General features: G+C 37.8%; 1 protein-coding gene across 32 annotated transcripts in view; it reads right to left on the bottom strand.

Annotated features, from left to right (window-relative positions):
* The window catches only part of ADAM22 (ADAM metallopeptidase domain 22), a 268,639-nt gene that overhangs the window by 228,166 nt on the left and 22,982 nt on the right, over positions 1–17,491 (bottom strand). For 5 of the 32 annotated variants that reach the window (XM_017012330.3, NM_001391975.1, XM_017012335.3 and 2 more), the window contains exon 3: positions 10,040–10,090. The exons of 26 other annotated variants lie outside the window; for them this stretch is intronic. In XM_017012330.3, coding sequence (XP_016867819.1) covers positions 10,040–10,090 — 51 coding nt within the window. Of the gene's footprint in view, positions 1–3,348; positions 3,431–10,039; positions 10,091–17,491 lie in introns of those variants that run through there. One more of the 32 variants, XM_011516324.3, reaches the window with a different exon arrangement.

Here is a 17,491-nt window from a genome sequence, read left to right as displayed (position 1 = left end):
AATAAGTTGTTGTTGTTTCAGGCAACGAAGTTTCTGCTAATGTGTTATAGAAGCACCAGGAAACTAATACAGCATCACTGACACTGTCTCTGAACATTTTGAAAAGCAGCTCCAATGAGTTCATTGCACCAGTATTCAATGTCACTTTCCTCCACAGTTTGGCTAAAACCAAGACACTTTCAGCAGCAGGGCTGAAACTCATGAGGCCTCAAGGATCAAACCCAAAACACAGGACTTCTCACCCAAACCAAACTTGCAGTGGTGGTCACTAAAATAAATGTGAGCCTGGTTTCTTCGCATTTTCTGTGGTCTTCCAATATTCAGGAACCTACCTTCCCCATGTTTCTGGCTGATAAATAGGCCAAAGAGAAGAAATATGGTGCTTCTTTTCTTTTATTTTTTTTCTTTTTTTTTTTTTTTGAGACAGAGTCTCGCTCTGTCGCCCAGGCTGGAGGGCAGTGGCACGATCTCGGCTCACTGCAAGCTCTGCCTCCCAGGTTCACACCATTCTCCTGCCTCAGCCTCCCGAGCAGCTGGGACTACAGACACCCGCCACCACGGCTGGCTAATTTTTTTGTATTTTTTTCTTTTTAGTAGAGACAAGGTTTCTCTTTTTTTTTTTTTAATTTTATTATTATTATACTTTAAGTTTTAGGGTACATGTGCACAACGTGCAGCTTTGTTACATATGTATACATGTGCCATGTTGGTGTGCTGCACCCATTAACTCGTCATTTAGCATTAGGTATATCTCCTAATGCTATCCCACCCCCTACCCCTACCCCACAACAGTCCCCGGTGTGTGATGTTCCCCTTCTTGTGTTCATGTGTTCTCATTGTTCAATTCCCACCTATGAGTGAGAATATGCGGTGTTTGGTTTTTTGTCCTCACGATAGTTTGCTGAGAATGATGGTTTCCAGCTTCATCCATGTCCCTACAAAGGACATGAGCTCATCATTTTTCATGGCTGCATAGTATTCCATGGTGTATATGTGCCACATTTTCTTAATCCAGTCTATCATTGTTGGACATTTGGGTTGGTTCCAACTCTTTGCTATTGTGAATAGTGCCACAATAAACATACGTGTGCATGTGTCTTTATAGCAGCACGATTTATAATCCTTTGGGTATATACCCAGTAATGGGATGGCTGGGTCAAATGGTATTTCTAGTTCTAGATCCCTGAGGAATCGCCACACTGACTTCCACAATGGTTGAACTAGTTTACAGTCCCACCAACAGTGTAAAAGTGTTCCTATTTCTCCACATCCTCTCCAGCACCTGTTGTTTCCTGACTTTTTAATGATCGCCATTCTAACTGGTGTGAGATGGTATCTCATTGTGGTTTTGATTTGCATTTCTCTGATGGCCAGTGATGGTGAGCACTTCTCCATGTGTTTTTTGGCTGCATAAATGTCTTCTTTTGAGAAGTGTCTGTTCATATCCTTTGCCCACTTTTTGATGGGTTTGTTTTTTTCTTGTAAATTTGTTTGAGTTCGTTGTAGATTCTGGATATTAGCCCTTTGTCAGATAAGTAGGTTGCAAAAATTTTCTCCCATTCTGTAGGTTTCTTGTTCACTCTGATGGTGGTTTCTTTTGCTGTGCAGAAGCTCTTTAGCTTAATTAGATCCGATTTGTCAATTTTGGCTTTTGTTGCCATTGCTTTGGGGGTTTGAGACATGAAGTCTGCCCGTGCCTATGTCCTGAATGGTATTGCCTAGGTTTTCTTCTAGGGAGTTTATGGTTTTAGGTTTACCATTTAAGTCTTTAATCCATCTTGAATTAATTTTTGTATAAGGTGTAAGGAAGGGATCCAGTTTCAGCTTTCTACATATGGCTAGCCAGTTTTCCCAGCACCATTTATTAAATAGGGAATCCTTTCCCCATTGCTGGTTTTTCTCAGGTTTGTCAAAGATCAGATAGTTGTAGATATGCGGTGTTATTTCTGAGGGCTCTGTTCTGTTCCATTGATCTATAGATCTATACCTCTGTTTTGGTACCAGTACCATGCTGTTTTGGTTACTGTAGCTTTGTAGGTATAGTGTGAAGTCAGGTAGCGTGATGCCTCTGGCTTTGTTCTTTTGGCTTAGGATTGACTTGGCGATGCGGGCTCTTTTTTGGTTCCATATGAACTTTAAAGTAGTTTTTCCCAATTCTGTGAAGAAAGTCATTGGTAGCTTGATGGGGATGGCATTGAATCTATAAATTACCTTGGGCAGTATGGCCATTTTCACGATATTGATTCTTCCTACCCATGAGCATGGAACGTTCTTCCATTTGTTTGTATCCTCTTTTATTTCATTGAGCAGTGGTTTGTAGTTCTCCTTGAAGAGGTCCTTCACATCCCTTGTAAGTTGGATTCCTAGGTATTTTATTCTCTTTGAAGCAATTGTGAATGGGAGTTCACTCATGATTTGGCTCTCTGTTTGTCTGTTATTGGTGTATAAGAATGCTTGTGATTTTTGTACATTGATTTTGTATCCTGAGACTTTGCTGAAGTTGCTTAACAACTTAAGGAGATTTTGGGCTGAGACAATGGGGTTTTCTAGATATACAATCATGTCGTCTGCAAACAGGGACAATTTGACTTCCTCTTTTCCTAATTGAATACCCTTTATTTCCTTCTCCTGCCTGATTGCCCTGGCCAGAACTTCCAACACTATGTTGAATAGGAGTGGTGACAGAGGGCATCCCTGAGTAGAGACAGGGTTTCACTGTGTTAGCCAGGATGGTCTCGATCTCCTGACCTCGTGATCCACCCGCCTTGGCCTCCCAAAGTGCTGGGATTACAGGCATGAGCCACCGCACCCGGCCAATATGGTTGCTTCTTAAGGTTATCTTGGAGAAGGAATAAAGTAAATGAACTACACTGAGTTGCTATATTATCAGGCTTATTATTCAACACCACTGAAGTGAGCCAGGATGGCTCTCAGAAAGTTACTCTTAGACCCTGCCTTTTTAGTTTAAGGAAAAAGGTATGTTTGAGAAGAGAGAATCAGTATAATACCAAGAATTTCCTTTGGTGGGGGACACAGGCTAAGGTACTGTCAAGGAAAAATTCCAATATTTATTAACTTTAAGTTGAAGATGAAAAAGTAGTAATACCCCTCACAGATACTGGAAAAACGTAATTTTGCAGAAATGCCATCTTTCAAATTACTACATAAGAATGAATTGTGATTTTAAAAACTATTAAACAGGTACTTCAGGTATTACAGAATAATATTGAGAGATTCCTAGAGGTCACATAATACAAGATCCTTAGTATATAACTAGGGACACTGAGGCCAGTGTGGGCAAAAGTCACTTCCAAAGTCACATATTTGGTGGTAGAGTAGGCATCTCACCTCCTGGTAGGCCTTTTTCATCATATTTCAACTCCTTGCTTTCATCCTACAGCTTGGAGGTACTTGCAGGTTTTACTGGGTTCTAATGAATAAATATTATAATAGAAGTTATTTCAGTATCATGAAAATACTCTAAAGAGCATTTTTAGAAGATATGACAAGAAAATCAAAACATAAAAAACAATCTTTAGAATTCCATTTCCATCTAAAAGTTAATAACATGACCATAGCTGACACACAGCACATGTCCTAAGGCCAATTTGATAACAACCTTACAAACTCAGAGTTATAGTTAAACATATATATATATGTCTGTCACTTAAGGAAAAGAAATTACATGGATATGGTAAAGTATGTGCTTGCAGTATGTATGTGCTTTAGAGATTGAGGCAAGCAGTGAGGCTGACATTTATAGAAGCTGTGAAACAAAAGATTCAAGGGAAAAATGCAAAAATATAAAATAACTCTCCAAATGGCAGGAACTCTTAATAAATCAGTATAATTACATAAAGATAATTCTAAATTCTAAATTCAAAAATGAATCACAGAATTTTAGGACCATAAGAACATGATACAATCCCCAGATTGGAGCCTATTTATTATTCATGGGCAATAGCTGAAATTAAAATGCGGAATTAATATAACACTCGTTTCTCATGCATTTTGCTTTGTGGCAGCCTGTCCTCTTCTCCTCATATCTTCTAGAGTCAATGAACCAGGGCCAACCTACCTATCCCAGAGATCAAACACAAAGGAACTTTTTAAGACTGCCTTACTGATAACCAATTTTTAAAGCAAAGTTAGCAGTACAACATTCATAGTAGAATCAGAACTCTGACACAAGGAGAAAGATGAGGTACTTTAGGTTTTTAATTAAGTCCAACCTGAATAACGAATTGATGTTTACCAATGGGGTGGGAATATTACCAATCAAATGGTAGTATACAATAAGATAACTGTGAAAGTAATTAATATTATTAAAAATAAGAGTTAATGCATGTAACAGTACTTTAGGTACTGCGTCCTAAACACATATTTGCCATTTGACTCTTTCAGCTCAGTTTAAAAAAACTACAAGTATAATTCTTGGAAGTCTAACATCTTCAGTTTAATAAATACATATATATATATATGGCTTGTATATATGATCCCTCTTTTCTACATCGGAAAAGGCAACTGAAAAATCACCATAGCCTTATGAGAACTTCTGGCAAAAGAGCTGCAAAGGATTGATACTATATCTCTATTTCAGATGAAGGTTTCTCATTCTAGAATTTGTTGTGGCCACATCAAGATATGGGATTAATTTTGTGAAGCAGAACTGTATTACAATGGCATCTGTTAACAGAGAGTTCTACCCAACAGGTCTACCTATATGTAAATTGGTATGATAAATGTAAGAACATTAGTGTTTTCTGTCTGTATTTCTATACTTATGACTCCATGTTACTCTCCCTTTTCCATCTCAGTAACACCCACAGTTTTCATAAGCTGATTATATATTGTATCTAATTTACACATTATCTTTAAACCAAACTGTTCTTGAAATCCAACCATCTGCATTTAGTATTACAAGAAGTAGAACAGTGCCTGGCAACAGGACATTTTAAAACAAAATGAAACAAAACAAAATAGCACAATTTTTAAAGAACAAACTTTAAAGAGCTGAGGTACATTTGAATTCTAGGTCTTCCATTTACCAGTGGAATAAACTAGAGCAGGTTGTTTCATGTTTCTGAACTGAAAGTCCTCATCTCTTAAAGAGCAAAAATAATAATACACACTTTGTAGATTTGCTGTAATAATTAAATAAGTGATAGTCCATTCGACACTTTTAGAGTGCTGATCATACCAGGCTCTGGGAAAGAAAGATGAGTTGGATACGGCTCTTGCACTCAGGAAACTCACAGTCACAAGAGGAAGGTACTAAACAAATTATTACAAAATGAGTGTAAGTCTAACAGTAGGTATATGTATAAAATACAACAGCAGTCCTTCAACTGTAGGGATACCGAGGAATGCATTGGTGCTCCTCAGATTGACAATGTAAGGGAAAGCACTCCAGGAAACAGGAACAACAAAGGCACAAAAACAGCAAACAGCTCAGCACAATCAGGAAATTACAAGGCACGCTATATGTTACTGATCTATTATGGAAGATCAAGATGGAAGTAAAGACATCAAAGAACTTCTAAACTGGTTATTCTCAATCCTGGTTCCACATTAGACTTCTTTGGTGATATGGTTAGGATTTGCATCCCCACCCAAATCACATGTAGAATTGTAATCCCCAGTGTTGGAGGAGAGGCCTGGTGCACAGTGACTACATCATGGAGGTGGACTTTCCTCCTTGCAGTTCTTGTGATAGTGAGTGAGTTCTCAGGAGCTCTGGTTGTTTAAAAGTGTGTAGCATCTCCCCCTTCTCTCTCTCTCTTCCTTCTGCTCTGACCATGTAAGACATGCCAGCTTCCCCTTCACCTTCTGCCATGATTTTAAGTTTCCTGAGGTCTCCCCAGAAGCAAAAGCCTGTACAGCCTGCAGAACCATAAGCCAACTAACCCTCTTTTCTTAAAAATTACCCAGTTTCAGGTATTTCGTTATAGCAGTGTAAGAACAGACTAATACACTTGGGAAGCTTTTCTTTTTCCCCCTTAGAGATAGGGTCATGCTCTTTTTCTCAGTCTGGAGTGCAGTTGCACAGTCACAGCTCACTGTAACCTCAAATTCCTGGGCTCAAGTGATCCTGCCACCTCAGCCCCTCTGAGTAGCTGGGACTATAAGCATGTGCCACCATACTCAGCTATTTCTATTTTTTAAATTTTTTGTAGAGACAGAATCTCACTGTGTTGCCCAGGCTGGAGTGCAGTGGCTATTCAGAGATGCGATCATAGGTCACTGCAGCCTCAAACTCCTGGGCTCAAGCAATTCTCCTACCTCAGTCTCCTGATTCGTTGGGATTACAAGCATGAGCCACCACACCCAGACTACCTTGGGAAACTTTTTAAAAAATACTAGTGCCTATGCCTCAAATTCAGCGATTCTGATACACTTGGTCTGCAGTGGATCCCAGGCATCAACATTTTTTAAAGAGCCATCAATGTCATTCTAAGGTATAGCCAACAGTTGAAAAGCAATATTCTAAACCAACCTAAGAAATGCCCTCCTTATCTTGAAAGCCATAAAAATGGATTAAAGACCTTTGTGATAATACATGTCCAATAAAAATAGCTCTCTCCCCTTGCCTTCACTATTTATGACAAAATATGTTTAACTTTCAAAACTGAATATTTACTTACTAAATTCCTGCATTATTTCTTAAAAGTAAAATGTATGTTCTTATGACAATTTACTACCTACATTTTGGTGTTGAGTTCAACCAAAATAATAAAAGTTTTAAAAGTTTTTTCTAAAAGGAGGGAATGAGTAAGAGAAAGACAAAAGGAAGAAAAAGAAATTCAGTCAGATAGTCTTTCCAGCTAAATTGAGGGCCAATATCTCTGTAAGCACCTTGGCACACTTTGTCACAAAGTAGAACCTCAATATACTTTTTTTTTTTTTTTTTTTTTTTGAGACAGAGTCTCACTCTGTCGCTCAGGCTGGAGTGCAGTGGTGCGATCTTAGCTCACTGCAACCTCTGCCTCTAGGGCTCAAGCAATTCTCCTGCCTCAGCCTCCCGAATAGCTGGGATTACAGGCACACGCCACCATACCTGGCTAATTCTTTGTATTTTTAGTAGAGACGGGTTTCACCATCTGGGAAGGCTGGTCTCGAACTCCTGACCTCATGATCTGACTGCCTCGGCCTCCCAAAGTGCTGGGATTACAGGCATGAGCCACCATGCCCAGCCTATACTGTTTTTTTAAATGAGGCATGAAAAGGAGCAAAATATTGGAATTCCCATGGTATTTTTATTCTTTTTGAGACAGGACCTTACTACATTGCCCAGGCTGGTCTCAAAGTCCTGAGCTCAAGCAATCTTTCTACTTTGGCCTCCAAGCCCATATTTTTTAAAGAGCTACTTCATGTGAGTCTAAAGTATGGCCAATTCTCATGGAATTCTTATCTACTTATACTTGCTTTCCAAGTCAAATTTCCATTCTTGCTGTTGATTTTATTTTACATGAAAAAATTTATAACTTGTATTAGTCTGTTCTCATGCTGGTATGAAGAAATACCTGAGACTGGGTAATTTATAAAGGAAAGAGGTTTAATTGACTCAGTTCACAGGGGTGGGGAGGCCTCAGGAAACTTACAGTCATGGCAGAAGGGGAAGCAAACACATCCTTCTTCACATGCCAGCAGCAAGAAGTACAGAGTGAAGTGAGGGAAAAGCCCCTTATAAAACCATCAGATCTCGTGAGAACTCACTCACTATCATGAGAATAGCATGGAGGTAACCATCCCCATCATTCAATTACCTCCCACCAGGTCCCTCCCATGACATGTTGGGATTACGGGAACTACAATTCAAGATGAGATGTGGGCGGGGACACAGCCAAACCATATCACAACTGATGTAAACAATTTCTTGCCCTTGTTTTGGGATGCATTTTCCTAGGACAGAGATTACATCATGTAGATCTCACTACCCAGGAATTCCTAGATGAAGGCTACACATGCCACAAAAAAAAAAAAAAAAAAAAAAAAAAAAAAACGGCTTTCCTTGGATAAGATGAACTCTTGAGAGGCATTCCCCGAATTTACCTTGCTACATTTCCAGTTCTGAAGGCACTAAAAGCCCGGAACTCTTGTGATTCCCTGGCTGCCAAGGTGGTCCCTGCTCCAACAAACCAGAGGCAAAGACAAAAAGACAGACTATGCTGACACTGGCACCAGCTCCTATTTTCTCATCTCCATTCAGGAAGTCAGGCAGCCTCATTACCTATTTATGCTTCAGCTATCTTCTGATAAATCAGTCTCTCCATCATCTTGGCCATTAACTGCCCATTACTAGGCCTTCAATTTAAGGCCTGAACAAGAAAATGCTTACTCACATAATCCTGAAAGTCAAAGCAGACCTTTAAGATATTTAGTAGTCTGAGAACAACACAATATAGTATAGTTGTATCGAGCTATAATTAAATCTGAGTGCAAGGAACCCTAACATTTAGATGCAACAAAATCAGCAGACAAAAATCCCTCCGACAAATCAGCCCTGGGAAATGGATACTCTTTTCTGGTACAGAAAAGGCCGGGGAGAAATGAGACAAGAGCTCTTCCCAGCCCCACTATTGGCTTGATATTTCATTAGAGTAGAGTTAGGAAAACTTTCATCTTCATCTTGTTTTTCCCCATATGCAAGCTGAAAATAGTCACAATTACAGAATGCTGTGAGAAAAACACAACATTTTTGTTTATGGTGAAGAGAGTATATAAAAGCTCATTGCAGAGACTAATGTAACTATCAAAAGGTAAAAAGCAGAGAAGAGGAAAAATGAGTAAATGGCTGTCAAGCCACTACACTCTCACATGAATAACTAGTCAGTTTAGCTCTAAATCAGGTAATTTTAAAAACAGAATTAGAAATAAGAATTGTCTCTGCCAGCTGGGTCACAATCTCTCCTGGAGGCAACTTCAGGAGTAAGCCATGTCCAAATAATAAAACTAAGAATGGTGAGTTCTTCACATCAAGGTTTACTTCACCCAGTTCTGTAATATCAATGGATTTTTCTTTCCCTGATTTTATTTGCTTATATAGACATTAGATGTATCTGAGAGTAAAGGCTCACTTTTACTAAAGGGCTAGCTCCAAGTGTCTGAAGAAAGAAAAATAGGAAATAATGTTGTACAAAATCCCATAATAAATAGCTAGCACAAATAAATTCCATAGCATTTCCTTTGGGAAACAATTTCACATGGTGTATAAAGGCCTTTTCTCCTAGGACTAAGGAATGAAACTATATAATTCTAAAGGATGTTCTGCTCACACATTTACATATAATAAACTATGGAACTATGTTTCAAACTTTAAACATAGGACCATATGCCTTCTTTACTAACATATCTCACTCGTCTAAAAGTTTTCCAAGGATATAGTCAAGAAATACTCTAAGAGCAAAGTACCTGCTAAAAAAGAAGAGAAAAATAAAAGCAGTTAAGTCCCTAATGTTAAGGATATGCAAACGACAGGTTTTCACCTATGACTTGACTGTCAAACACCAGAGACTTTCTTCCTTTCTTTCTTTTAACCAAAGGCTTCCTTTATTGGGACACCAAACAAGAGAATTCTAGCGACAAGAACCACCGCAAAAATATTTCATTTTTTTTTGTTTGCCAGTGGGCTAGAATGAAGACTGGTAGGAAGAACACACTACCTATAGCTATCTTAACTACCACAGTAAAGAAAGAAGATGGGATTGTGGTGTGTGTCTGTAAGAGAAAGAAAGAGAGAAAACAGACTACCAGCCCTCTCTGAGAAAACCATGTCTTAAAACCATGTAGTCTTGCAATGCACACATAGGTTAGAAAATAGCAAGAATCTTTAACAGTGATTCAGTATGACATAAATCTGCCCCCAAATTCTTAAACTCAGAGGCTTCCACATACTACCAGCTGGTGTCTCCAAGCTGCTTTGAAGAGTAACTCCTTGCCCTTGAGTTCCAGGAAGGTTGAAAGAATCCATCCACAATTCATGTTTGAGAGAAAATACTAACATCCAAAATGAAAATTTTTGTTATAGGTACTGCATTACCTGTATCTGGTATATGGTCTTCTGGGATTCTGACTTCAAAAACATCTGAATCTAAAAAAAAATTAAATGAGTACAATTTTTCAAACACGTTCTAATAAAAAACCTAAGGGGTTGAAAAATAATCAAATTATTCTGTTAGACAAAGGTAATAAAAGAGACTCTAGAAATTAATTTTATTTATACTTCTATTATTTATTGGAGCTAGTCACTATTAGCCCCTGTGATAAAAAAAGATCAATCTTGTCACCTAATCCTTAGCATTAAACTTTCCCTAGAAAAGTGAAATGCCTTTTTAAAATACACTGACTCCAAATCATCTTTGAAAGCAGGAAATCCTAAGAGATACCATTATTAGGAGACATAGAAAAACTGCACAAATCAAGTCACATTATCCATTATACATCCAACAGTGCTTGTGTGTGCACGTGTATACATTATGGCAGGAAAAGCTTGTAGCCAACTGTAACCTGGAAGATAATTACCACTTAAAGCAAGCAAACTTTCTAGTGCTGAGCCCAGCTCAGAAGAGCTGGAAATAGGAGAAACAACTGCACTCTAAATGAGGGAGATAGGATATAGATCACCACTGAAGGGTCTTACAGACTTAAGACATAGTAACAGTGTCTAGTGATGTAAAGTCAGAATCACATGAAGACTACCCTTAGCTCTGAAATATATCTTATTACAAGAAAAAATATATATTAATATAACCTTGGTGATATCTAATTAGTTTTACAGCCTCACATCTGAATATTTAAAAGAAATAAAACCCTTACTCTCAAAACTCTTTCTTCACTGGCATGAACTCAGCTCTTAATAGAAACAATTTCATATCAAAGGCTCATTGAACTTGACCCCAACAGTATCAGAAACATAAAAGATGAATAAAATTACAAGGAGCCATCACAGGATGGTGGAGCTCTGGAGCCAGTAGCTAGAGGAGAGCCATTCATTCCTTCCCTCTGATTAGCTGCTCAGCCTTAACAAAACTGAGCATACAGGGGCTCAGATACTGTTTTCTTCATGTTCTGTGCTGTTGATGTGTTTGGATACAATGCTGAATAAATCGGACTCTGTAATTCTTGCCTCTACTGGAGACAAATCAGTGCAGTTTAATGAGGATTCTGTACATTTGACATGCTGGGTTAAAGAAAGGTTTCCTACAAGATATCTTGATTCTTTTTTACAAAGGAAAAAGGCCAGGCACAGTCATTCTTTCTATATTTTATAATAGTTTTTTTTAAACTTCTTGTTGCTCTGAGGCAAATGAATACTTTCAAAGTAACACGGAGGTCACTTTTTATTTAATTTATCAAATGATACCCTAGGAGAACTTATTCACTTCTGAAAACTGGGTGGGTTGTCGCTCCGAACTTCCCCCACTGGGTTTCTGGGAAGCTGCCTCCTGGCAAAGACTCATGACTGAAACTTTCCCTGAAGGGCCATCCTTAGCAAACTGCTTTCAGGCTGTCCTTTTTGTCCTTCCCTGGCCTTCCCTGCATGCCTCACCGTCTCCACCACCACCACCAAGTCCTGAACCCCTACTGTGTACACAGGTACCTCCAGGAGAACCAAAAGGGACTCTGAGGAAGATATGGCCCTACCAACAGATTTTTATTATCTGGAAAGACATGTTATTATCTTACAAGACAATAATATAATGCTATGCTCAATTGCTTTGTCCAAGAGTTTTCCCTCTGTTTTAAAACTGTGAGCAGTTGCTTATGAAAAGTTGCATAGGATAGTGGTTAAAACTCCAGATCTTCGAGACAAATTTCCTATGTTCAAATCCTAGCTCCACCCCTTCCTAAACTGAATGATCCTGGGCATTATTTAAGCTCTCTGTGCCTCAGTTTCACTATTTATTAACTGCGAAAAACAGTATCAACCTCTGAGGATTGCTGTGAAGACTGAATACATGTAAGATGCACAGAACGAGCTGCTGCAGTGGCTGGTGCTTGTTGTTGTAGCTACTGGGGAGGCTAAGGTGGGAGGAACACTTGAGCCCAGGAGTTTGACCCAGACTAAGCAACACAGCAAGATTCCATCTTCAAAAAAAAAAAAGTCCACAGAATGTTCTAGCTCCATAAACGTTAGGCATATTATTCTGCCACATGATTAAAAAAAAGTGTAAGCAGTGTGAACAGAATTTCGTGTTGTATTCAGGAATCAGAATTGTTCTTGCTTCCCTTGTCACTTCCAGATGACAATTCCTCTATCCCTCTCTCATTGAGGTGCATGGCTTATAGCTATACCATCTTCCACTCTCAACGCTATACCAAGTGCCTCTGTAGTCCCAATGTTTGGCACCTTGCTTAGCACAAAGAATGTGCTCACTTACAAATTTAAAATAAACCTGACAACTGTTAATCTGACAATAACATGAACAAAAGTTATTTTGCAAACTGTAATTAGCCAAAAGTGAAAAGTAGTTGTCAGGACTCACATAATAAAGGTTGCTTTCACATAGTTTAACTACTTTACTGTTTCCTTGTGAGTTCTCTAGTAATTACAAGCACTATCATTGTTTTATAGAGTGTAACTCTCAACAGTATATGCATTACACTAATTCTCCTGAAATACTTTTGACCTGTGTTCCTGTGTTAATTATATTCATCTGACATTTGTTAGTGAGTTTGGTGGTCATTTGGCTACATGACTTGCATGAGCATTATCTATAAGGCAGACAGAGAAGAATGGAACTTTGAGCTTCAGGGAACCTCGATGAGTTATATGATTCATTCCCTCACTTGTAAGGAAACAAACCTACACAAAACCATTTTGAAAAATGATTGTTGAACCTGTTTTATAAGTTCTTGAGACAGTTCCTCAACCCCCATTTATAGTCTGTTCCAATGCTGAATCATCTTACTTTTCCTTTTAAATCACTAACAAAACTCTGTCTTAATGCAATTTAGCCCTATTTCTCCCATTTGTGAAACTAGATATTAACATGTTCAAAGACAGCTTGGAAGTGTGCTGCTCATCTCTTAGGCACAGTAGAAGTATCTGCTACTTAGTAAGCTTTACGGCAGGCTAATTCTAAAAATATCTGCCAACCGCACCAGATAAAACATCCTGCAAAAGGAGTAATTCATAACCATGCTTGTACTAAACATAAAATACAACTACATTTAAGTGCATGGAAGTAATACTGTCTTGCAAAGAAGAATCCAAATGCATTACATTGTGGGATTATAGGAAGAGGAGGGGAAGAGATTACATTTAGACACCATACTGAAAATCTGTATGTTCTTCCTTGGTGGGATAATCCAATACTGTGAGACCACAGGATGAAACCAAAAATACCACAAGAAATGTAGATGATTCCAAATATTTCCTCCCAGAACAGTTTCCAATAAGATCTTCCATCACCAATCTTCTTTGGAGCAGTCATCTTGTTATTCATATTTGACCGATATACTCTGGCCTTGGGGTCATTATACTGGTTATTCTCTCTATATATAATGCTCTTCCTAAGATACCTGTATGACTCACTCCTCACATCCTTCAAGTCTTTTCCTAATGTCATTTCTCTGAGGCCTAACGGACTACCCTACTAGAAATTACAACGTATGCCCCCTACACTCCCCTGCACTACCAGTCTCCATTACCATGCTATATTTTTTATTTTCCATAGTACTTATCACCTTTGAACATACCATATAATGTATTACTGCATCATTTACTATATTTTTGTCTATGTGCTAGAACATAAGCCCAGAAGAAAGAATTTTTTTTATTATTCACTGATGTATCCCAAAGGCACAGAACAGTGCCACATAGTAGGACCTCAATAAATGTTTTTGGAGTGAGTTAAAAGGATGTCAGTTCACAAATCAAATCACAGGAAATTGCAACACACACACAAACTGCATTAGTGTTAGTTACTCAAAACAGCTACTGAGCCTTAACCTGAAATAGAACCAATGGAAAAATTTTAATTGCAGAGCTGGCAAGTTTAAACTTTGTAAGAAAAGGAACAAGAACCAAAGTCTATTAAATATTTGCCAATCCCCTCAGTTCCCTCATTATTCAAAGATAGAATGATAAAAAGAGAAATCAAGAATCTCTAGTTCTAGTGAAAACATACTGCAGAGAAGAGGAGCTATAAAAAGGCATGATTAATAGCTCTAACATAACTGAAATACCCAACTGCACAAGGGCCAGAAGGTTCAGAGAAAAGTATAACTGTTTCTCTTCTTGTCAAGTGAAATATAAGGACGAAGAGTGACCCAATGGCCTTATGGAGATGAGATGCAGAATACTCTACACACACACACACAGACACACACACACACACACACACCCCACTACCACCAGCAGCAACAATACTATCTGCACTTGGAGCTCTCTTCTTCCTGAACACTGAATACTTTCATCAGTGAACATATGATGCTTAAAATGAAAGCATATGGACTTCTTCTAACCTAATTATTTCTTGAAAAAGAGAAATAACACAAACAATTAACTTCAGAATAACAGATTTTGGAAAGACTGTTTAAAACTGTTAGAAATTCAGAAACACATGGTTGATTGATAAGTATTAAAATATTTATTAAATATGGGAATCCACTGCAAGAACATGGAAGTTCTTCAGTTCTTTCCATTGATCTGAAGGCTACATCTAATGCTGGGCCCAGATTAATAAGAAGCTGAAAATTTTAAGATCACAACTACTCTACAATGGTACCAAAAACAGCACAATAATTAAAAGAGAAGAGTCCAAACAGAAAGGAAAAAACAATGAATTCAGAATGACAAACTTTTATTTAAAACTATATTAAAAACCACTGAATTGTATATTCTAAAAGAGTGAATTTTATGGTATATGAATATGTCAATAAAGCTATTGTTTTAAAAACTATATTAAAAATCAGTATTGTTGCCATACATATATTTCAAATGCAAAGTCATCTTAATTTTCACAGAAGACTCAACTTTTTTTATAATAAATGCTACCATCTATAAAATTTTAGAAGCCCTTTCTTCTAGATCACCTGTCTGTTCCTTTTGATTTGCATATTGAAGTATTTCAGGCAAAACATGTTTTTTAAAAAGGAAATTAAAACAGACTATTAAAACGGAGCATCTTGTCCTCTAATCTGGTAGCTATGTTTTTGGAAACACCTGCAGTGAGACCAAAGCTAGATCCAAAACTAGCACCAGAGAGCAAATTGTTCCACCATCCTGGAGACTTTGATACAAATCACAGCTCTTATGAAAACAGAGAAATCCAGCGATTTGCATATATGACACCGAGTATCAGTTTTATACCAAGAAATGATAATTATAGGAGCTTAAAAAAAAAGGAGCTAACATTTATTGAGCTCTTACTATATGCCAAACGCCCAGCTACAGCTTTATGTATATTATCTTTTTTAATCCTCACAACATATGAACTGGGTACTATTCTTATTCACATTGTATTGGTGTAAAAACCCAAGATTAAAGAAGTTAAGTGTTTGCCAAGTTCACACAGTGAGCTAGTGGCAGAGGTGAGCTTTAAATCCATGGAGTCTAATTCTAGGTCCTTTAACATTTAATCACTTTTCTATAATGCTTTTTTTAAAAAAAAAACTACATTTGAGATTTATTTTGTGAAAAATTAAGATATTCTAAAACTATAGTAAATTCCACAGTGATAAAGTAATACACAGACAGACCAAGAATCATTAAGGATCTAAATAGGATAACATAAAAAAATTAAATCTGCTAAACCAAAGATACCATGAGAATGAAAAATAAGCCATAAACTAAAAGATAAATAAATATTTGCTATACAGATAATAGAGAATAATCCAGAATATTTTTAAATGCCAAAAATCGACAAGAAAAAGACAAAAATTTCAATTGAAAAATGGGGAACGCATAATAGGCCAGTCAAAAGAGGAAATACAGATCACCAAAGGTGCTCTACCTCATCAGTCATCAGGAAAATGGAAAGTAAAATAACTAGATACCATCTCATACCCACAATATTGTTAAAAACTTTAAAGTCGGCCGGGCACGGTGGTTCACCCCTGTAATCCCAGCACTTTGGGAGGCCGAAGAGGGCAGATCACAGGGTCAAGAGATTGAGACCATCCTGGCCAACATGGTGAAACCCCATCTCTACTAAAAATACAAAAATTAGCTGGGCATGATGGTGCGTGCCTGTAATCCCAGCTACTCAGGAGGCTGAGGTAGGAGAATCACTTGAACCCGGGAGGCAGAGTTTGCAGTGAGCCGAGATCACGCCATTGCACTCCAGCCTGGGAAACAAGAGCGAAACTCCATCTCAAAAAAAAAATAAAAAATAAAAAAAATTTAAAAAAACTTTAAAGTCTTATGGTTCCAGATAATGATGAAAAGGAGACTATACATAAATTCGCATACAGTGCTAGTGGAGTGTAAATTGCTGTATCACTATTTGATTTGGCAATATACAGGGAAATTGACAGTGTACAAGCCCTAGGAATCAACAATTTCACTTCCAAATATATACTCCATAGAAACTCATGCCAATGTCAAATGTGTATGTCAAATGGTATATACTGCTTATAACAGCGAAACAGAATAAATACGCTATAAATACTACTAATGGGAAAATGAATAAATGATGTTTATAAAATGGGAAGGCAGGCAGCAATAAAAAGAAATGAATTTAATTCTTTTACCTATATCATCATAAGAGATCAAAAAATTTAATTTTGAGGAGGGGTAAAAGGATATATATGCTATAAAAGATAGACATTTAAATACACACAAAACAGTAATATATTGTTATGGATATATATGTATGTATGAAAGTATGAAAACAGACCAGACAGGGTGGCTCATGCCTGTAATCCCAGCCCTTTGGGAGGCCGAGGTGGGCAGATCACCTGAGGTCAGGAGTTTGAGACCACCTGGCTAACATGGTGAAACCCCGTTTCTACTAAAAATACAAAAAATTAGCCAGGCATGGTAGTGCGCACCTGTAATCCCAGCTACTCGGGAGGCTGAGAGGCAGGAGAATTGCTTGAACCCTGGAGGCAGAGGCTGCAGTGAGTCGAGATGGCACCATTGCATTCCAGCTTGGGCAACAAGAGCGAAACTCCATCTCAATAAAAAAAAGAAGAAGAAAAGAAAACAAAGACGGAAAGGATGCACACCAGTTGCAAGACAATGATCTCCTCTGAGAAGGAAGGGGAAAACAGAAGGGCAAGAGAGCATCATCTGAATCTATAACGTTAGTTTCTTGCAAAAGAAACAAACCACACTAAATTTTGTTCATTCTGGGTGGTATGTACAAGGGTGTCCATTACATTATTCTATCTACCATTTTGTATGTTTGAATTATTTCAAAACTTAAGCTTTTTATATTAAACAAACTGAAGAAAGTTTTACAAGCACCCTCACATGGTCAATTTCACTGATACCATAGAACAGCTAAGGGATAAGTAACACAACCATCCAGATGTCCCTAAT

Source organism: Homo sapiens, chromosome 7, assembly GCF_000001405.40.
Source record: "Homo sapiens chromosome 7, GRCh38.p14 Primary Assembly".
NCBI lineage: Eukaryota > Metazoa > Chordata > Mammalia > Primates > Hominidae > Homo > Homo sapiens.
This window is presented reverse-complemented; position numbering and strand designations above follow the sequence as displayed.